Raw genomic sequence first — 16,953 nt, 5'->3', positions numbered from 1 at the left:
TGGTGTGAACCCAGGAGGCGGAGCTTGCAGTGAGCCACGATCACGCCACTGCACTCCAGCCTGGGCGACAGTGCAAGACTCCATCTCAAAAAAAGAAAAAAGTATCATTTTCACCGTCCTCAGATTATTGTTTTTTTGGCATGTTTGTTTGTTTAGTGTGTGTTTTTTTTTTTTTTTTTTTTTTTTTGAGACAGAGTCTCACTCTGTCGCCCAGGCTCGAGTACAGTGTTGTGATCTCAGCTCACTGCAAGTTCCGCTTCCCGGGTTCATGCCATTCTCCTGCCTCAGCCTCCCGAGTAGCTGGGAATACAGGCGCCCGCCACCATGCCCGGCATATTTTTTTGTATTTTTAGAAGAGACGGGGTTTCACCTTGTTAGCCAGGATGGTCTCGATCTCCTGACCTCCGTGATCCGTCCGCCTTGGCCTCCCAAAGTGCTGGGATTACACGTGTGAGCCACCGCACCCAGCCTTGTTTTGTTTTTAAGACAGTCTCATTCTCGTCCAGGCTGGAGTGCAGTGGCGTGATCTCAGCTCACTGCAGCCTCTGCCTCCCAGGTTCAAGTGATTCTCCCACCTCAGCCTCCCAAGTAGGTGGGATTATAGGTATGCGCCACCATGCCTGTCTAATTTGTATGTTTTTAGTAGGGAACAGTGTTTCTCCATGTTGGCCAGTCTGGTCTCGAACTCCTGACCTCAGGTGTTCTGCCTACCTCAGCCTCCCAAGGTGCTGGGATTACAGATGTGAGCCACTGCACCTGGCCTGTTTGTTTCTGAGACAGGGTGTTGCTCTGTCCGCAGGCTGGAATGCAGTGGTAGGGATCACAGCTCACTGCATCCTCCACCTCCTGAGCTCAATTGATCCTCCCACCTTAGCCTCCCAAAATCCTGGGATTACAGGCGTGAGCTGGCCAAATTATTATTAATTATCATAATTGTTGTTAGCAGTTTATGCAGTAGCCTTCAGATCTTTTCCCATGTACATAAAAATAATAGTATACTTAGCCAATGTTTACTGTATATACTAACTCATTTAATCCTCAAAATAGTCTTGGGAGGTAAGCCCTGTTACTATCCCTGTTTCCTAGAAGAGGAAACTGAGAGCCAGAGAAGTTAAATGTCTTGCCTCAGGTCATTCTGCGTATACATAAACACATACTTGACAAAAATGGCTTGAACTGCATGTATTGTCCTCTGATGCAACAGGCTGTCAGGGACCTCTTTTCAGGATAATATACTGAGATTCACCTTTTTTTTTTGAGATGGAGTCTGTCTTTATGTCCCAGACTGGAGTGCAGTGGCATGATCTCGGCTCACTGCAACCTCCGCCTCCTGGGTTCAAGCGATTCTTCTGCCTCAGCCTCCTGAGTAGCTGGGATTATAGGCTCAGCTAACTGTTGTATTTTTACTAGAGATGGGGTTTCACCATGTTGGCCAGGCTGGTCTCAAACTCCTAACCTCAGACGATCCACCCGTTTCGGCCTCCCAAAGTGTTGGGATTACAGGCGTGAGCCACCGCGCCCGGCTTCACCAATTTTTTTTACCCTGTTTCCTCTGCTGGTTTTTGGTTTATCCTTTCAGATTTTTTTCCTTTTTTAACATATATATTTTTTCCCCTTTCTTTTTTTTGAGTCAAGTTCTCACTCTGCTGCCCAGGCTGGAGGGCAGTGGCCCGATCTTGGCTCACTACAGCCTCTGCCTTCACCTCCCTGAGTAGCTGGGACTACCAGGCACGCCACCATGCCCAGCTAATTTTTATATTTTCTGTAGAGATAGGGTTACACCATGTTGCCCAGGCTGCTCTCCGACTCCTAGGCTCAAGCGATCTGCCTGCCTCAGCCTCCCAAAGTGTTGGGAGTACAGGCATGAGCCACTGCACCTGGCCTCATTTTTCTTTTTTTTTTGTAAAACAGAAACATACAGTCAACACTGTCTTCAGCTTTGCTTGTTTTCACTTAATGTATGCACTCTCTATCAGTGTCTAGAGATTGTTCTCATTTTTTTGTTTTTTTCTTCCTTTCTTGTTACAGTTCCATAGTCTTTTTCCTTTATTTATATTTATATGTTTTTCACTTACTTTCACAGGTGTTGAAGCCCCATGGCCTTTGATTATGTATGAACTTTTTTTCAGCCAGTCTCCCTATTTGAGAACACTTGAGTTGCTTCTAGTCTTTTGCTATTATGAATAGTTGTGTAATTGACATATACTGCTACGTTAATCATTCCATAATTTTGCCTGTGTGACTGTGATGGATGCCTGAAAGCCCCCTTCCTCCCTTTTAAAAACAGCTTCATGATATTCCAGAGAGTGGCTGAAACATAATTATTGAAGCAGGCCTTTTGTGATGTATTGAGTGCCTACTATGTGCCGGACTCTGTGCCTGATATTCCTCAGAGCTGTGTTTTTAAAAGTTTACTCTGGGCCAGGCACTGTGGTTCACGCCTGTAATCCCTGCACTTTGGGAGGCCGAGGCAGGTGGAACACCTGAGGTCAGGAGTTTGACACCAGCCTGGCCAACATGGTGAAACCCTGTCTCTACTGAAAATACAAAAATTAGCTGGGCATGGTGGCATGTGCCCGTAATCCCAGTTACTTGGGAGGCTGAGGCAGGAGAATCACTTGAACCTGGGAGGCAGAGGTTGCAGTGAGCTGAGATCGCACCACCACACTCCAACCTGGGTGACAGAGCAAGACTTCATCTCAAAAAAAAAAAAAAAAGAAAGTTTGCTGTGGTGCCCAGTCCAAAGCATATCCCAGATGGAGAGAGGGGACACACGGAGACCTGCAAGGTGGCTGTTGCACGTTCATGTGGCCCATCGTTCAGCAGCTGTTTGTGGTTGGCCCACTTGAGGCTGAGACTTCTGGCTCTGCCTTGGGAGATGTCAGTCTCCCCCAAGTTACAGGCCCCGTGCACATATCCATAAGCCAGAGACAGACCCTGGAGGGGAGAGGGACTTGAGAAGGCCTGACTGGGGAGGAACAGCCTGGGAAGGAGGCTTGGGCCCTTTGTAGGTGTTCGGGTGACAATCCAGCCCAGCCCATCCGCTGGTTCCCTGAGCTTGATCCATCCTCTTCTTTCCTGGGGACAAGCTGACAGCAGCCATGGCGAGCGGCAGTGGAGACAGCGTCACCCGTCGGAGCGTGGCATCACAGTTTTTCACTCAAGAGGAGGGGCCGGGCATCGATGGCATGACCACCTCAGAGAGGGTGAGCGTGGCGGGTAGGGCTTGGAGTGAGGAAGCATAGCCCCTGGCTTTGGCAATCCCTGTTTAGGTGGCAGAGCCCTGGGAGTGCCGAGGGGGCTGCACTGGGCTGGACTGGGCTGGCACTATCCCCTGCCACTCCCCCTCCTTCCAGGTGGTGGATCTTCTGAACCAGGCGGCGCTGATCACCAATGACTCAAAGATCACAGTGCTCAAACAGGTGAGGGCCCGGGGGGCATCCTGGGCTGAGCAGGTGAAAGGGAGGAGGCTGGGAACCTGAGAAAGACACTTGCAGTAACACCAGTGTCCACATTTACACACTCAGTGTGTGCCGGCCACAGTGCTCAGTGCAGGCCTCTGCTCTTCTAGTTCTCATGAAAGCTCTGTAAGGCAGGGTAGTTTCATCCCTGTTTTATACAGAAAGAAGCAGACCCCGGGGCTTAAATTATTAGCCCAGGGTCACTCTGCTGGGAGCTGGCTGAACTAGTAATTGAATCCTGGATTCCAGCTCCAAATCCTACACTCTTCATCATTGCATTTCTTCTCTGCCAGTGTCCAGTCCAGTGGGGCAGACATTCCTGTCACCAGGCAATGATGACCCAGTGTGGGCAGGGCTGGGATGGAGAAGGGAGCCCAGGGGGGCTCTGGGAGCCCAGAGGGAGCTCCTGACCCAGCCTAGGGATGGGGAGTCAGGGAGGACTTTTGAACCAAGCCATGGAGGATAAAAGGAGAGAAGTGTACCAAATGAGAGAGGCAGAGCATCTCTTTTTTTTTTTTTTTTGAGGCAGAGTCTTGCTCTGTTGCCCAGGCTGGAGTGCCATGGCACGATCCTGGCTCTCACTGCAACTCCTGCCTCAGCCTCTTGAGTAGCTGAGATTACAGGCACCTGCCACCATGCCTGGCTAATTTTTGTATTTTTAGTAGAGACGCGTTTCACCATGTTGACCAGGCTGGTCTCAAACTCGTGAGCTCAAGTGGTCCACCCTCCTTGGCCCCCGCAAACTGCTGGGATTACAGGCACGAGCCACCGTGCCCAGCCAAGAGAGGGAGAGCATGTCAAGCTGAGGGCACAGAAGTGTGTGCAAAGGCAGAAGACGACATGGGACACTTGGGCTGGGCATGGTTCAGAGCAGGAGGCAGTTGGAGTTCAGAGACTGGCAGGGTTAGCATTCCTGTGTGAGAACCCGTTCGGCTCCTTCATCAGCCTGTAGCCTTGTGGAGTAGCCCCACCTCCGAGGTGGAGTGGATGCACCTGGTGCCTCCCCCATGGGTGGTCATGAGGCCGTTTAGCAATAGTAGCTTGAGTTGTAGCAGCCAGGTCCTGTGCCAGCTCTTTGCTTATTGGAGGATGTCCATGGGAAGGGCTTACTCCAAAGAGCCTGGCAGGCACAAGGGCTTCAGGAATTGGGTTCTCACTGTGAAGATGTTTGCTGAATCATGGCAATGTGAAGTAGGGAGCAGAAGCAGAAGGAGAGTGGGGAGAACTGATGGACAGGTGAATGGAGGCCAAACCTCAGGAAGGCCTGAGCCTTGGGGCACTTTCCTCTTTTTTTCAGCCCCCTCCTGTGTCATGTCCTCACTATCTACCAGGACCTGTGCCTTGTAGGATCTCATTGTAGCCTCCTAACATCCCTTTTGAGTTGATGTTTAAGAGTCTCATTTTATAGAAGAGCAAACTGAGGTTCAGAGACCATGCCCAGAGCATAGCACCCTTGGTAGGGAGAAGCAGAGCCAGGCATTGAAATGAGTGTATCTGCTGCCTAGCCCTCTGCTGTCTTCCCCTCTACTCTCCTGTCTGCATTGATTGGCCCCTCGTTTTATATGGGTATTCCTCCTCCCCACCCCCAATCTCCTTCCAGGTCCAGGAGCTGATCATCAACAAAGACCCCACACTACTGGACAACTTCCTGGATGTGAGTGACTGACAGAAGAGAAAGGGGTGTGGTGTAGGGGAAAGGGGATGTGGATCCTTGTGTAGCCCTGATCCACTTTCTCTCTAACATTGGCAGGAGATCATCGCATTCCAAGCAGACAAGTCAATCGAAGTGCGAAAATTTGTCATCGGCTTCATCGAGGAGGCATGGTATGGGGCGAGGCACGGAGCCCCGGGAGCATTCTCACTGGTGGCAGCCTTCAGCTCGTGGCCTGGCCTGGAGGCCACCACTGAGAGGCCTGCCCTCTGCTTCCCAGACCCTTTCTCTCTCTCATACACACTGATTCCCCAGCAAATACTTAATAAGATGGAAACCCTGGGGTCATCTGTGATTCCTCTGCTTCTTCCACACTTCACATCTACATTATCACTAAGGACTGTGGGCTCCACTTTGAGAATATCTGTAGCATCTGACCGTTTGTCAATCACTTCCTCTGCCACTATGCAGGCCCAAGCCACCCTTTCCTCCTACCTGATGACTTCAGTGGTCTCTCTCTGGCTCCCTTCTTTTTCTTTTTAGTTAAATTGAAATTCATATAACAAAATTAGCTTTTTTTTTTAATCTTTTGTTTGTTTGTTTGTTTTGAGACGGAGTCTCGCTCAACTGTTGTCCAGGCTTGAGTGCAGTGGCGCAATCTCGGCTCACTGCAACCTCCGACTTCCGGGTTCAAGCTATTCTCCTGCCTCAGCCTCCCAAGTAGCTGGGATTACAGGCATGCGCCACCACATCCGGCTTATTTTTGTATTTTTAGTAGAGAAGGGGTTTTGCAATGTTGGCCAGGCTGGTCTCAAACTCCTGACCTCAGGTGATCTGCCCGCCTTGGCCTCCCAAAGTGTTGGGATTACAGGTGTGAGTCACTGTGCCTGGCCTTTTTTTTTTTTTTGAGACTGAGTTTTGCTCTGTTGTCCAGGCTGGAGTACAGTGGCGCAATCTTGGCTCATTACAACCTCCACCTCCCAGGCTCAAGAGATTCTTGTGCCTCAGCCTCCTTGAATAGCTGGGATTACAGGTGCGTGCCACCATGCCTGGCTAATTTTTGTATTTTTAGTAGAGATGGGGTTTCTGCCATGTTGGCCAGGCCAGTCTTGAACTCCTGACCTCAAGTGATTGGCCCACCTTGGCCTCCCAAAGTGCGGGGATTACAGGCATGAGCCACGACGCCCAGCAAAAATCAGCTATTTTAAAGTGAACAAGTGAGTGGCATTTAGCACGTTCACAATCTCGTTCCAGGGCATTTCATCCCCCAAAGAGGAATCACCGCACTCATTTCCCGCTTCCACTCTTGCACTCAGCAGCCAGAGTGACGCTGTTAAATGTAAATCAGTCTTGGCACACCCCTGCTCTCAGACCCCAGCTGGCTCATCAGCTTACTTAGGTGGAAACCCAAACTCTCACTTCGGCTTCATCTCACTTCTGATCCTCTCTGTCTCCCCTGCTCCTCAGAAGTCACAGTTGGATTTCGCAGCCTGTCTGCTTGCTGTTCCTGCTAGGGGCCCTCGTCCCCAGGTTGCCACCTGGCTCTCCCCTCCCTTCCCTCAGGTCTCTTCCTCAGAAATTCCTTCCTGCCCGCTCCCATGCAGCCCCATGTCTCAGGCACCCCACCTTCACTGTTCTTTACAGTGTTCCTCACTCATTGAAATAACCTTGATTCTTCCCGCAAAATATCAGCTCTGTGAGGACGGGGCTTGACTTTTTCTGTCTTGCTGGCCACTTTGTCCCCAGTACCTGCCTGGAGCAGTGTTGTCACCTAGTAGGGGCTGACTACGTATTTGTTGCACACGTGAATGAGTTGAACATAACAGTCACCACATGGAACACGTACTGTGCCCTGCGCTGTGTCAGGTCCTTTCCCGTGTTATCTCCGTAATTATGGCAGCCTCGATGGATACTGTGGTTATCCTCTTTTTACAGAAAGGGAAACAGGCTCAGAATGGTCAAGTGACTTGTTCAAGCTGGTCACTTGCTCATTTGTTTATTAAAGCTTTACTGGATGCTTTGTGACTGGGAGGAAGTAGACTAGCTACTGTGTATTAAATATTTGTTTGTAAGGCACTGTATTAAATGCTTGAGCAGCTTCATTATTCGTAATACTATGGATCAGTTGTTTGACCCTTTAACTGAAGAGAAAACAGTCTCAGAGAGGTGAAGTGAATTTTCTTAAGGTCACACAGCCAGAATGTGGCAAGGCTGGGATTTTATTTATTTATTATTTTTTTGAGATGGAATCTCACTCTGTCGGCCAGACTGGGGTGCAGTGGTGCAATCTCGGCTGACTACAACCTCTGCCTCCTGAGTCAAGTGATTGTCCTCCCTCAGCCCCCCCGAGTATCTGGGATTACAGGTGCCTGCCACCACACCCAGCTAATTTTGTTTTCTGTTGTTGTTTTTTTTTGTTTTTGTTTTTGTTTTTGTTTTGAGATGGAGTTTCGCTCTTGTTGCCCAGGCTGGAGTGCAATGGTGCGATCTCGGCTAACTGCAACCTCCACCACACAGGTTCAAGTGATTCTCCTGCCTCAGCCTCCCAAGTAGCTGGAGTTACAGGTGCCCGCCACCATGCCCGGCCAATTTTGTATTTTTAGTAGAGATGGGGTTTCACCACGTTGGTCAAGCTGGTCTCAAACTCCTGACCTCAGGTGACCCACCTGCCTCAGCCTCCCAAAGTGCTGGGATTACAGGCGTGAGCCACTGCGCCTGGCCAAGGCTGGGATTTTAACTCATGTCTGCAATGCCAGAACCCAAATATCCTATCTCCCCATTTACTGGGAGAATTTGTGGTAAATTTTCTGAATTTGTAAAAAGTCCATTCAGCAAATACATACCATGTGACTGCTGTCGTACCAGGCATCCATGTTAGGCTGTAGTATAGCAGTGAGCAAAAACGTATTATTCCTGCCTTCATGTAGCTGACAGCTAAGTTTCATATTTTTTGACTGATTTAATTAATATTTCAGATTGTAATGTATGCTGTGAAAATTCTGTGCTGAGCTCCTATTTATTCATTGAACATTTGTTGGAGGCCCTTCATTTTTTTCTTCAATGAAAATGACCCTGCTGGGGTTATTGCCAAGCTAGGAAAGGGTCCCTACTTTTTGAGCCCTCAGACTGAGGCAAGCAAAACTAGTGATTACAGAAAACAAAGTGCTTTAAAGTAGCAATGGCTGGTGTTTACCGAATGCTTTTTGGTGTTTACTGAATGCTTTCTGCATGTCAGGCACTCTTCTAAGCACTTTACAAGTATTGTTGCAATTTTCCCAAAAAATTGCATAAACAATTGGATAGATACTATTATTCTAAATGAGGTGAAGTCGCTTGTCCAAATTCACACAGTTGTCTGCCCCTACTGTCCCTTATGTGAACAGCAGGGCCCTGAGAGAGCAAAGGAGTTGGTGTTACAGGACCAGTCTAGATAGAGGGTTCAGGGGCGGCTCAGTCTGGAGGCACCAAGCACTGTTCCCAGCTTCTGGATGTGCCATTCCGGTCCCCTGAGACAGGTCCCTGATTTCCCTTCCCTCCTGGACCTCAGGCTCCTCCTACTTGCTCTAAGACCACACCTTGACCTCGCCCCTTTTTTCTCCATCCCTCAGCAAGCGAGACATTGAGTTGCTGCTGAAACTCATTGCAAACCTCAACATGCTCTTGAGGGACGAGAATGTGAACGTGGTGAAGAAGGCTATCCTCACCATGACCCAGCTCTACAAGGTGGCCCTGCAGGTGAGAGCGCCCTCCCCACCCAGGGCCATCCTGCCTGATATGTCTCGTTGACAAACTAATATGTTGGGGTTCAAAACCAGCATCCGAGCATACTCTTTATGGGCAAGATGTGCCACTGGTCTGTGGGAACAGATAACATGGAGAGCTAACGTTGTCTCCTAGGTCAGGAAGTTGCACTTAACCTTCATTCCTTCCATTGACCATCCGTTTATTCACTCAACAGACATTCCCTGAGTATGTCCTCTGTGCTTAGCCCTGGGCTAGGTGATGCTGGGGACACAGCAGTGACCAAGACAGCTTACTGCCTTCACAGTGCTCATAACCCAAGGAGGGAGGTAGACCTTAATTAATGAATCACATAAATATTGATTATGGAGTGTGATAGGAAAAGAACACTCTATGGTGTGATGTACATTAGCATTAATAAAACGAATGAATCCATTTAATCACCACCACCTTGTGAAGTCAGCACTGTTAGTCCTTTACCCTGAAGATGTGTGCCTTCATCACACTGAGTGGTCACTCTCTGCATCCCCATGAGGGCAGGGCGAGGCCTGGCCACTACTCAGTCCTGTCTCCAGCATCACCGAGCACTGGGCTGGGGCAGAGTTGGAACTCAGTAACTGTTAACCAAATGAATGTATTCATCATTCATGGTTCTCTGGGTATTGGCAGAGGGTGTTGGTGATTGATGCGTTGTCTTCACCTCTTTGTGTGTCTCTTCCATTCCTTCCTGGCCTGCTGGCAGTGGATGGTAAAGTCACGGGTCATTAGCGAGCTACAGGAGGCCTGCTGGGACATGGTATCTGCCATGGCGGGGGACATCATCCTGCTATTGGACTCTGACAATGACGGCATCCGCACCCACGCCATCAAGTTTGTGGAGGGCCTCATTGTCACCCTGTCACCCCGCATGGCTGACTCAGAGATACCCCGACGCCAGGAGCATGATATCAGCCTGGACCGCATCCCTCGTGACCACCCCTACATCCAGTACAGTGAGTACTGCCTTCAGCTGCCACCCCTGACAGCCCTGCACCAGTTTCCTCTCCTTCACGCCCCTCCCTCTCTCCCCCTTGTCTTTTTTGGTTTTAAATTTCTGGAACAGTGTGTGCAGTAGTTAAGATCCCTGGTGCTAGGTTCAGATCCCAGCTGCACTGCTTACTCATCATGAACTTGGGCAAGTTACCTGTCTCTGTACTTCATTTTCTTTTTTGTAAATTGGAGACGATAACATAGTACCACTCTCACAGGTTTGTAGTGAAGTTCCATGAGTGTGAGCCAGTCGATGCTAGCTAGTTTTATGGTTTTCTTTTTTTTTTTTTTGAGATGGAGTCTTCCTCTGTCGCCCAGGCTGGAGTGCAATGGCACAATCTCAGCTCACTGCAACCTCCGCCTTCCGGGTTCAAGAGATTCTTCTGCCTCAGCCTCCAAAGTAGCTGGGGCTACAGGCTCCCGCCACCATACCTGGCCAATTTTTTTAAAAATTATTTTTAGTAGAAGCAGGGTTTCACCATATTGGCCAAGCTGGTATCGAACTCCTGACCTTGTGATCCGCCCGCCTTGGCCTCCCAAAGTGCTGGGATTACGGGCTTGAGCCACCGCGCCGGGCAGTTTTACAGTTTTCTTAACTGCAAATTATAAAAGTAGGACATAGGCCAGGTGTGGTGGCTCATGCTTATAGTCCCAGCATTTTGAGAGGCCAAGGCAGGCAGATCACTTGGGGTCAGGAGTTCGAGACCACCCTGGCCAACATGGTGAAACCCCTTATCTACTGAAAATACAAAAATTAGCCGGGCATGGTGGCGGGCACCTGTAATCCCAGCTACTTGGGAGGCTGAGGCACGAGAATCGCTTGAACCCAGGAGGCAGAGGTTGCAGTGAGCTGAGACTGTGCCACTGCACTCCAGCCTGGGTGACAGAATGAGACTGTCTCAAAAAAAAAAAAAGTACTATATATACACTTGGTGTCAAGCAATATGGGTGAATCAAAAGGAATAATGTCCCCTCCCTCAGTCCTGCTTTCCAGAGATAAACACTGTTAAGAGTATTATGTTTCCTTTCAGATCTTTCCTGTGCACATGTAGGTATTTGTATGTGTATATGCATAGTGTCTGCATTTGTTTGCTTTTCTGTTTGCAAAAATGAGGCCATGCTTTGTGTTTTCATCTCAGAGACATTATAGTAGCTTGTGTCTGACACACAGCCTATTTTCCCTTGTCTCTGAGCCTGATTCCTCATTGGTAAATTGGGGATCGTTATTATGGCATCTAATTTAGGATGTAGGTATGAGCATTTGGTGTATTAATATGGCTGGAATAGTAAACATTCCATAAATATTAACTATTCTTATGTATTGTTTGACAGCCTTTTTGACTTAATAGTATCAGTGACGTCCTTCCCTGTGAGAATCATATAGTTGCTATACCATATTCCATAGTATAGTTACATTACATTCTATTAAGCAATGCTCTGTTGATGGTCATTTAGATTTTTAATTCACTTTTATTTTTTGAGACGGAGTCTCGCTCTTTCACCCAGGCTGGAGTGCAGTAGCGCTATCTCGGCTCACTGCATGCTCCGCCTCCCGTGTTCACGCCATTCTCCTGCCTCAGCCTCCCGAGTAGCTGGGACCACAGGTGCCCGCCACCACGCCCGGCTAATTTTTTGTATTTTTAGTAGAGACAGGGTTTCACTGTGTTAGCCAGGATGGTCTTGATCTCCTGACCTCGTGATCTGCCCACCTCGGCCTCCCAAAGTGCTGGGATTACAGGCGTGAGCCACCGCGCCCGGCCTAATTCACTATTTTAAATAATGTGGCGTTCAAGTCAAAACTACAATGAAATGTCTCACCCCAGTTAAAGTGACTTTTATCAAAAAGACAACAAATGCTGGCGAGGATGTGGAGAAAGGGAAACACTTGTACACTGTTGGTGAGAATGTCACTTACTACAGCCTAAAAATTGTTTGGAGTTTTGAGGTTCCTCAAAAAATTAAAAATTGAGCTACCATATGATTCAGCAATCCCACTGCTGGATATGTAACCGAAATAAAGGAAATCACTGTATCAAAAAGATAACCCGCACTTCCATATTCATTGCAGCACTAGTCAGAATAGCCAAGACTTCGGAGCAAACTAAGTATTCATCAACAGAGTAATAGATAAAGAAAATGTGGTACTCATACACAATTGAATACTATTCAGCCATAAAAAAGAAGGAGATCCTGTCATTTGCAACAACATGGATGGAAGTGGAAGTCATTAAGTGAAATAAGCCAGGCACCGAAAGACAACTTTGCATGTTCTCACTTATTTGTGAGAGCTAGAAATGAAAACAATTGAACTCATGGAGACAGACGGTAGAATGATGGTTACCAGAGGCTGAAAAGGGTAATGGGCGGTTGGGGAGGAAGTGGGAATGGTTAATGGGTACAAAAAAATAGTTAGAACAAATAAGATCTAGTATTTGATAGCCAAGCATGGTGGCATGTGCCTGTGGTCTCAGCAGCTCAGGAGGCTGAGTTGAGAGGATCACCTGAGTCTGGGTGGTGGAGGTTGCAGTGAGCCGAGATCACGCCACTGCTTTCCACTCTGGGTGACAGAGTGAGACCCCATCTCAGGGAAAAAAAAAAAGATCCAGTATTTGATAGCACAGCAGGGTAACTATACTAAAAAATAATCATACATTTTAAAATAATTGAAATAGTATAATTGGATTGTGTGTAACAAAACGGATAAATGCTTGTGATGGAGACCCCATTTACCCTGATGGTGATAATTATGCATTGCATGCCTGTATCAAAATCTCATGTACCCCATAATTATTTACACCTACTATATACCCATTAAAATTTTTTAAGTTAAAAACATATATATGGCATTCGTTATGTTTCTGTATAGGAAAGGTCTGGAAAGATATCCACCAAAGTTTTAAGCATTAATTTTGGGGACTGTATTGAGGGGAGTGGTGTCACAAGGGACTTTGAGTTGTGTGTATATACACATGTATTCTAGTCTTTCACTATTGCAAGCCCATGCTTTGAACATCTTTATAACTAAATTTTTTTTTTTTTTAATATGGAGTCCAACTCTGTCACCCAGGCTGGAGTGCAGTGGCGCGATCTCGGCTCACTGCAACCTCTGCCTCCTGGGTTCAAGCGATTCTCCTGCCTCAGCCTCCCAAGTAGCTGGGATTACAGGCACAGGCCTTCACACCTGGGCTAATTTCTTGTATTTTTAGTAGAGACGGGGTTTTACCATGTTGGCCAGGCTGGTCTTGAACTCCTGACCTCAAGTGATCTGCCTGCCTTGGCCTCCCAAAGTGCTGGGATTACAGGCATGAGCCACTGCGTCTAGCCCCTTATAACTAAATTTTTATACTCATTAATAGTCTCATAGAACTAATCAACCACCACATTTTCTGTTTTTCCCGCCATTCATAGACATCTAGGTACCAGGATCTGTCCTTCCTTTTAGTCCCAAAAGCTGCTGTCTCCAGAGGCCTGGGAAAACGGATCCCACTGACTGGTTCTCCTCTCTGTCTCTTAGACGTGCTATGGGAAGAGGGCAAGGCAGCCTTGGAGCAGCTGCTTAAGTTCATGGTGCACCCTGCCATCTCCTCCATCAACCTGACCACAGCGCTGGGCTCCCTTGCCAATATCGCCCGCCAGAGACCCATGTTCATGTCTGAGGTGATCCAGGCCTATGAAACTCTGCATGGTAGGTCATTGTCCTCCCCCCTCCCCCTGCCTTCTCTTCACTGGCCAGTCTGCTCTTTCTTTTTTTTTTTTTTTTTTTTTTTTTTTTGAGACAGAGTCTCGCTCTGTCACCAGGCTGGAGTGCAGTGGTGCAATCTTGGCTCACTGCAACCTCTGCCTCCCCAGTTCAAGTGATTCTCCTGCCTCAGCCTCCCGAGTAGCTGGGATTACAGGACACACCACCACACCCAGCTAATTTGTTTACTTTTAGTAGAGACGGGGTTTCACCGTGTTGGCCAGGATGATCTCTATCTCTTGACCTTGTGATTCGCCTGCCTCGGCCTCCTAAAGTGCTGGGATTACAGGTGTGAGCCACTGCACCCGGCCTCAGCCTGCTCATTCTTAAAGAAATGTAGCTCCGTGGTGGACCCCGAGCGCTAGTCATCCATCTGGCAGGCCTGAGATTCTCTACATTAGACAGGAATCTTTTGGCATGTGACAGAAACTTGATTCAGGACTGGCTTTAATATTGAGGTATGTGGGGGTGAAATGACATGATGTCTGTGAAATACTTTCAAATATTCCAGTCCTCTCCCCCCACCAAAAGGGAGGATAGATGTTCCAAGATTAGCGAAATGTTGATGGGTACACAGAGACTCATACCATTTTCTCTGTTTTGTGAAACGAAAACCGAGAAGTCTGGGGTTGGGGTATGAATGCGTACAGGTCGTGGATCTGCATTTCTCCATCTCTCAGCTCTTTGTTTCTCCATTTTAGTTTCACTCTCTGGCCCTTTCCTTAGGGTAGCAAAGATGGCCCCCCATAGTTCATGGCTCCCATTCCGTTCACTTAGCAACACCATGGGAAAGAGAGTGTCTCCTTCCCAACCATTCCAGCAGAAGTCCAAGGGCTGACGGTCATTGTTTCTGATTGGCTGAGCAGAGATTATGAGCCAGTCTCTGAGCCAATTACAGTGGCCAAGGGAATGTGGTATTCTCACTGGCCCCAGGTCTCATGCCCACTCGGAAGGAGACTGGAGAAGGGGGGTCTCCCTTAACGGAGAGTGGGTTGTGTTGTTGGCTGAGGAAGGGGCAGTGGATGCTAGGCAGGCAGAATTACAGGCATCCTTTTTCACTGTGGAACAGGGGAGGCTCACTTATCAGGGTGACCATTAGAAAGTCATCCTGGCGTCAGGGAGACTAGCAGTGAGCTGTTGCAGCAGTTCAGTTGGGGGTTTCTGGAGGCAAAAGTGGTGATTATAACCCTCCCCAAGCGAAGCATATGTGAATTTCCAGACCAGAGATGGAGGAGGACGAAATTGTATGTATTTACTAAAAGAGAGGGTGAGTTTTTCTCTTTAAGATTGACTGATACTGATGGAGACCCCCAGGGTTTGAAGCATCAGCTTGTAAGGCGGAAAGCCACACGTTAGATCTGAGGGTGAAGGAACTTTTCTAGTAGATGCCTGCAAGACCACTGCCCAAGTTTGGGGTTGAGAATTAAGACTGGCAGCATGCCATGAGATCTTCCACAAGACACAGCTCCTGCCACTTTCCTCACAGCCAACCTGCCCCCGACGCTGGCCAAATCGCAGGTGAGCAGTGTGCGTAAGAATCTGAAGCTGCACCTGTTGAGTGTGCTGAAGCACCCGGCTTCCTTGGAGTTCCAGGCCCAGATCACCACCCTGCTGGTGGACCTGGGCACACCTCAGGCCGAGATCGCCCGCAACATGCCGAGCAGCAAGGACACCCGCAAGCGGCCCCGCGATGACTCGGACTCCACACTCAAGAAGATGAAGCTGGGTGAGAGGGGCTGGTGGGGTGGGGCAGGCAGACCATGCTGAAATGTTTCATTATTTACCTTAAACTATGCTGAATTTGTATTTACTAAGATTATATTATAGATTATGTTATGTGGGCCAGGCACAGTGGCTCACACCTGTATTCCCAGCACTTTGGGAAGCTGAGGCGGGCAGATCACTTGAGGCCGGGGTTCAAGACCAACCTAGGCAACATGGCAAAACCCTGTCTCTAATTTTAAAAAATTATAAAATAATTATAAAAATAAATTACAGTATTTAATATGATATATAAATTACAATAGAATTATCAAAATATACGTTTAATAAATTATGCATTATTTAAATTTTACAGAAAGGAATAAAATGAAAATAGTATCCCTCTTATCCCTCTCCCAAGAAGTAACCACTCCCCAGGTGTGAACACTTCTTTATGTTTTCCTCCAGAAGTGCTTTATGTAGAGTGTGGAGCTCTTCTTTCATTCCTTTGTTTTAGTTATCAGATAATTTTCTTTCTGAAGTAATTTTCTAGTGGTTGTATTATTTATCAATAGTGTCAACTATGGCTTTTCTTAACTTTAAGATTTTTTTCTTAAATCACACTTTTTTTCTAGAGCATTTACGAAAGATTTATTTTTTCATTTTAAAAAATAAGGAATTAGGCTGGGCGCAGTGGCTCACGCCTGTAATCCCAGCACTTTGGGAGGCCAAGGCATGTGAATCACCTGAGGTTAGGAGTTTGACACCAGCCTGGCCAACATGGAAAAACCCCGTCTCTACTAATAATACAAAAATTAGCTGGGTGTAGTGGTGCATGCCTGTAATCCCAGATACTCTGGAGGCTGAGGCAGGAGAATCACTTGAACCCAGGAGGCAGAAGTTGCAGTAAGCCGAGATCATGCCATTGCACTCCAGTCTGGGTGACAAGAGTGAAACTCTGTCTCAAAAAAAAAAAAGGTGGGGGGGGAATTGCCAGGCACAGTGGCTCATGCCTGTAATCCCAGCATTTTGGAAGGCCAAGTTGAGGGGATCACCTGAGGTCAGGAGTTCGAAATTAGCCTGGCTAACATGGTGAAACCCTGTCTCTACTAAAAATACAAAAATTAGCCAGGCGTGGTGGTGCACACCTGTAGTTGCTGCTACTTGGGAGGCTGAGGCAGAAGAATTGCTTGAACTGGGGGCAGTGGTTGCAGTGAGCCAAGATTGCACCATTGCACTCCATCCTGGGTGACAGAGCAAGACTCCGTCTCAAAAAAAAAAAAGGAATTTATCTAAGGAGTGAGGTAGGGATCTTACTATGTTTTTTCATAATTAAGTATACTAAGCAGAGTATTCTGTACCTTGTTTTCATTTAGTTTCATTTACTTTCATCTTGGAGTTCTTTATAGAAATCTACCTCATCCTTTTTTTTTTGAGACAGTCTTGCTCTGTTGCCCAGATTGGAGTGCAGTGGTGTAATCTGGGCTCACTGCAGCCTCTGTCTCCCGGGTTCAAGCAATTCTCATACCTCTGCTTCCTGAGTAACTGGAATTACAGGCGAATGCCACCACACCGGGCTAATTTTTGTATTTGTTTGTTTTTTTTTTTTTAAAGATGGAGTTTCACTCTTG

The 16,953-nt window shown here is 47.6% G+C and overlaps 1 protein-coding gene across 3 annotated transcripts in view; it reads left to right on the top strand.

Moving 5' to 3' along the window:
* Positions 1-16,953, top strand: part of SYMPK (symplekin scaffold protein) — a 47,738-nt gene that overhangs the window by 5,551 nt on the left and 25,234 nt on the right. For all 3 annotated transcript variants that reach the window (NM_004819.3, XM_011527354.2, XM_047439485.1), the window contains 8 exons: positions 3,090-3,206; positions 3,357-3,422; positions 5,062-5,115; positions 5,212-5,285; positions 8,721-8,847; positions 9,596-9,845; positions 13,397-13,567; positions 15,108-15,347. In NM_004819.3, coding sequence (NP_004810.2) covers positions 3,102-3,206; positions 3,357-3,422; positions 5,062-5,115; positions 5,212-5,285; positions 8,721-8,847; positions 9,596-9,845; positions 13,397-13,567; positions 15,108-15,347 — 1,087 coding nt within the window. In that variant the 5' untranslated portion in view covers positions 3,090-3,101. The remainder of the gene's footprint in view (positions 1-3,089; positions 3,207-3,356; positions 3,423-5,061; positions 5,116-5,211; positions 5,286-8,720; positions 8,848-9,595; positions 9,846-13,396; positions 13,568-15,107; positions 15,348-16,953) is intronic.

Source organism: Homo sapiens, chromosome 19 (assembly GCF_000001405.40).
Source record: "Homo sapiens chromosome 19, GRCh38.p14 Primary Assembly".
Lineage (NCBI taxonomy): Eukaryota > Metazoa > Chordata > Mammalia > Primates > Hominidae > Homo > Homo sapiens.
Note: the sequence above shows the minus strand (reverse complement) of the source record. Positions and strands in the feature narration are given on the sequence as shown.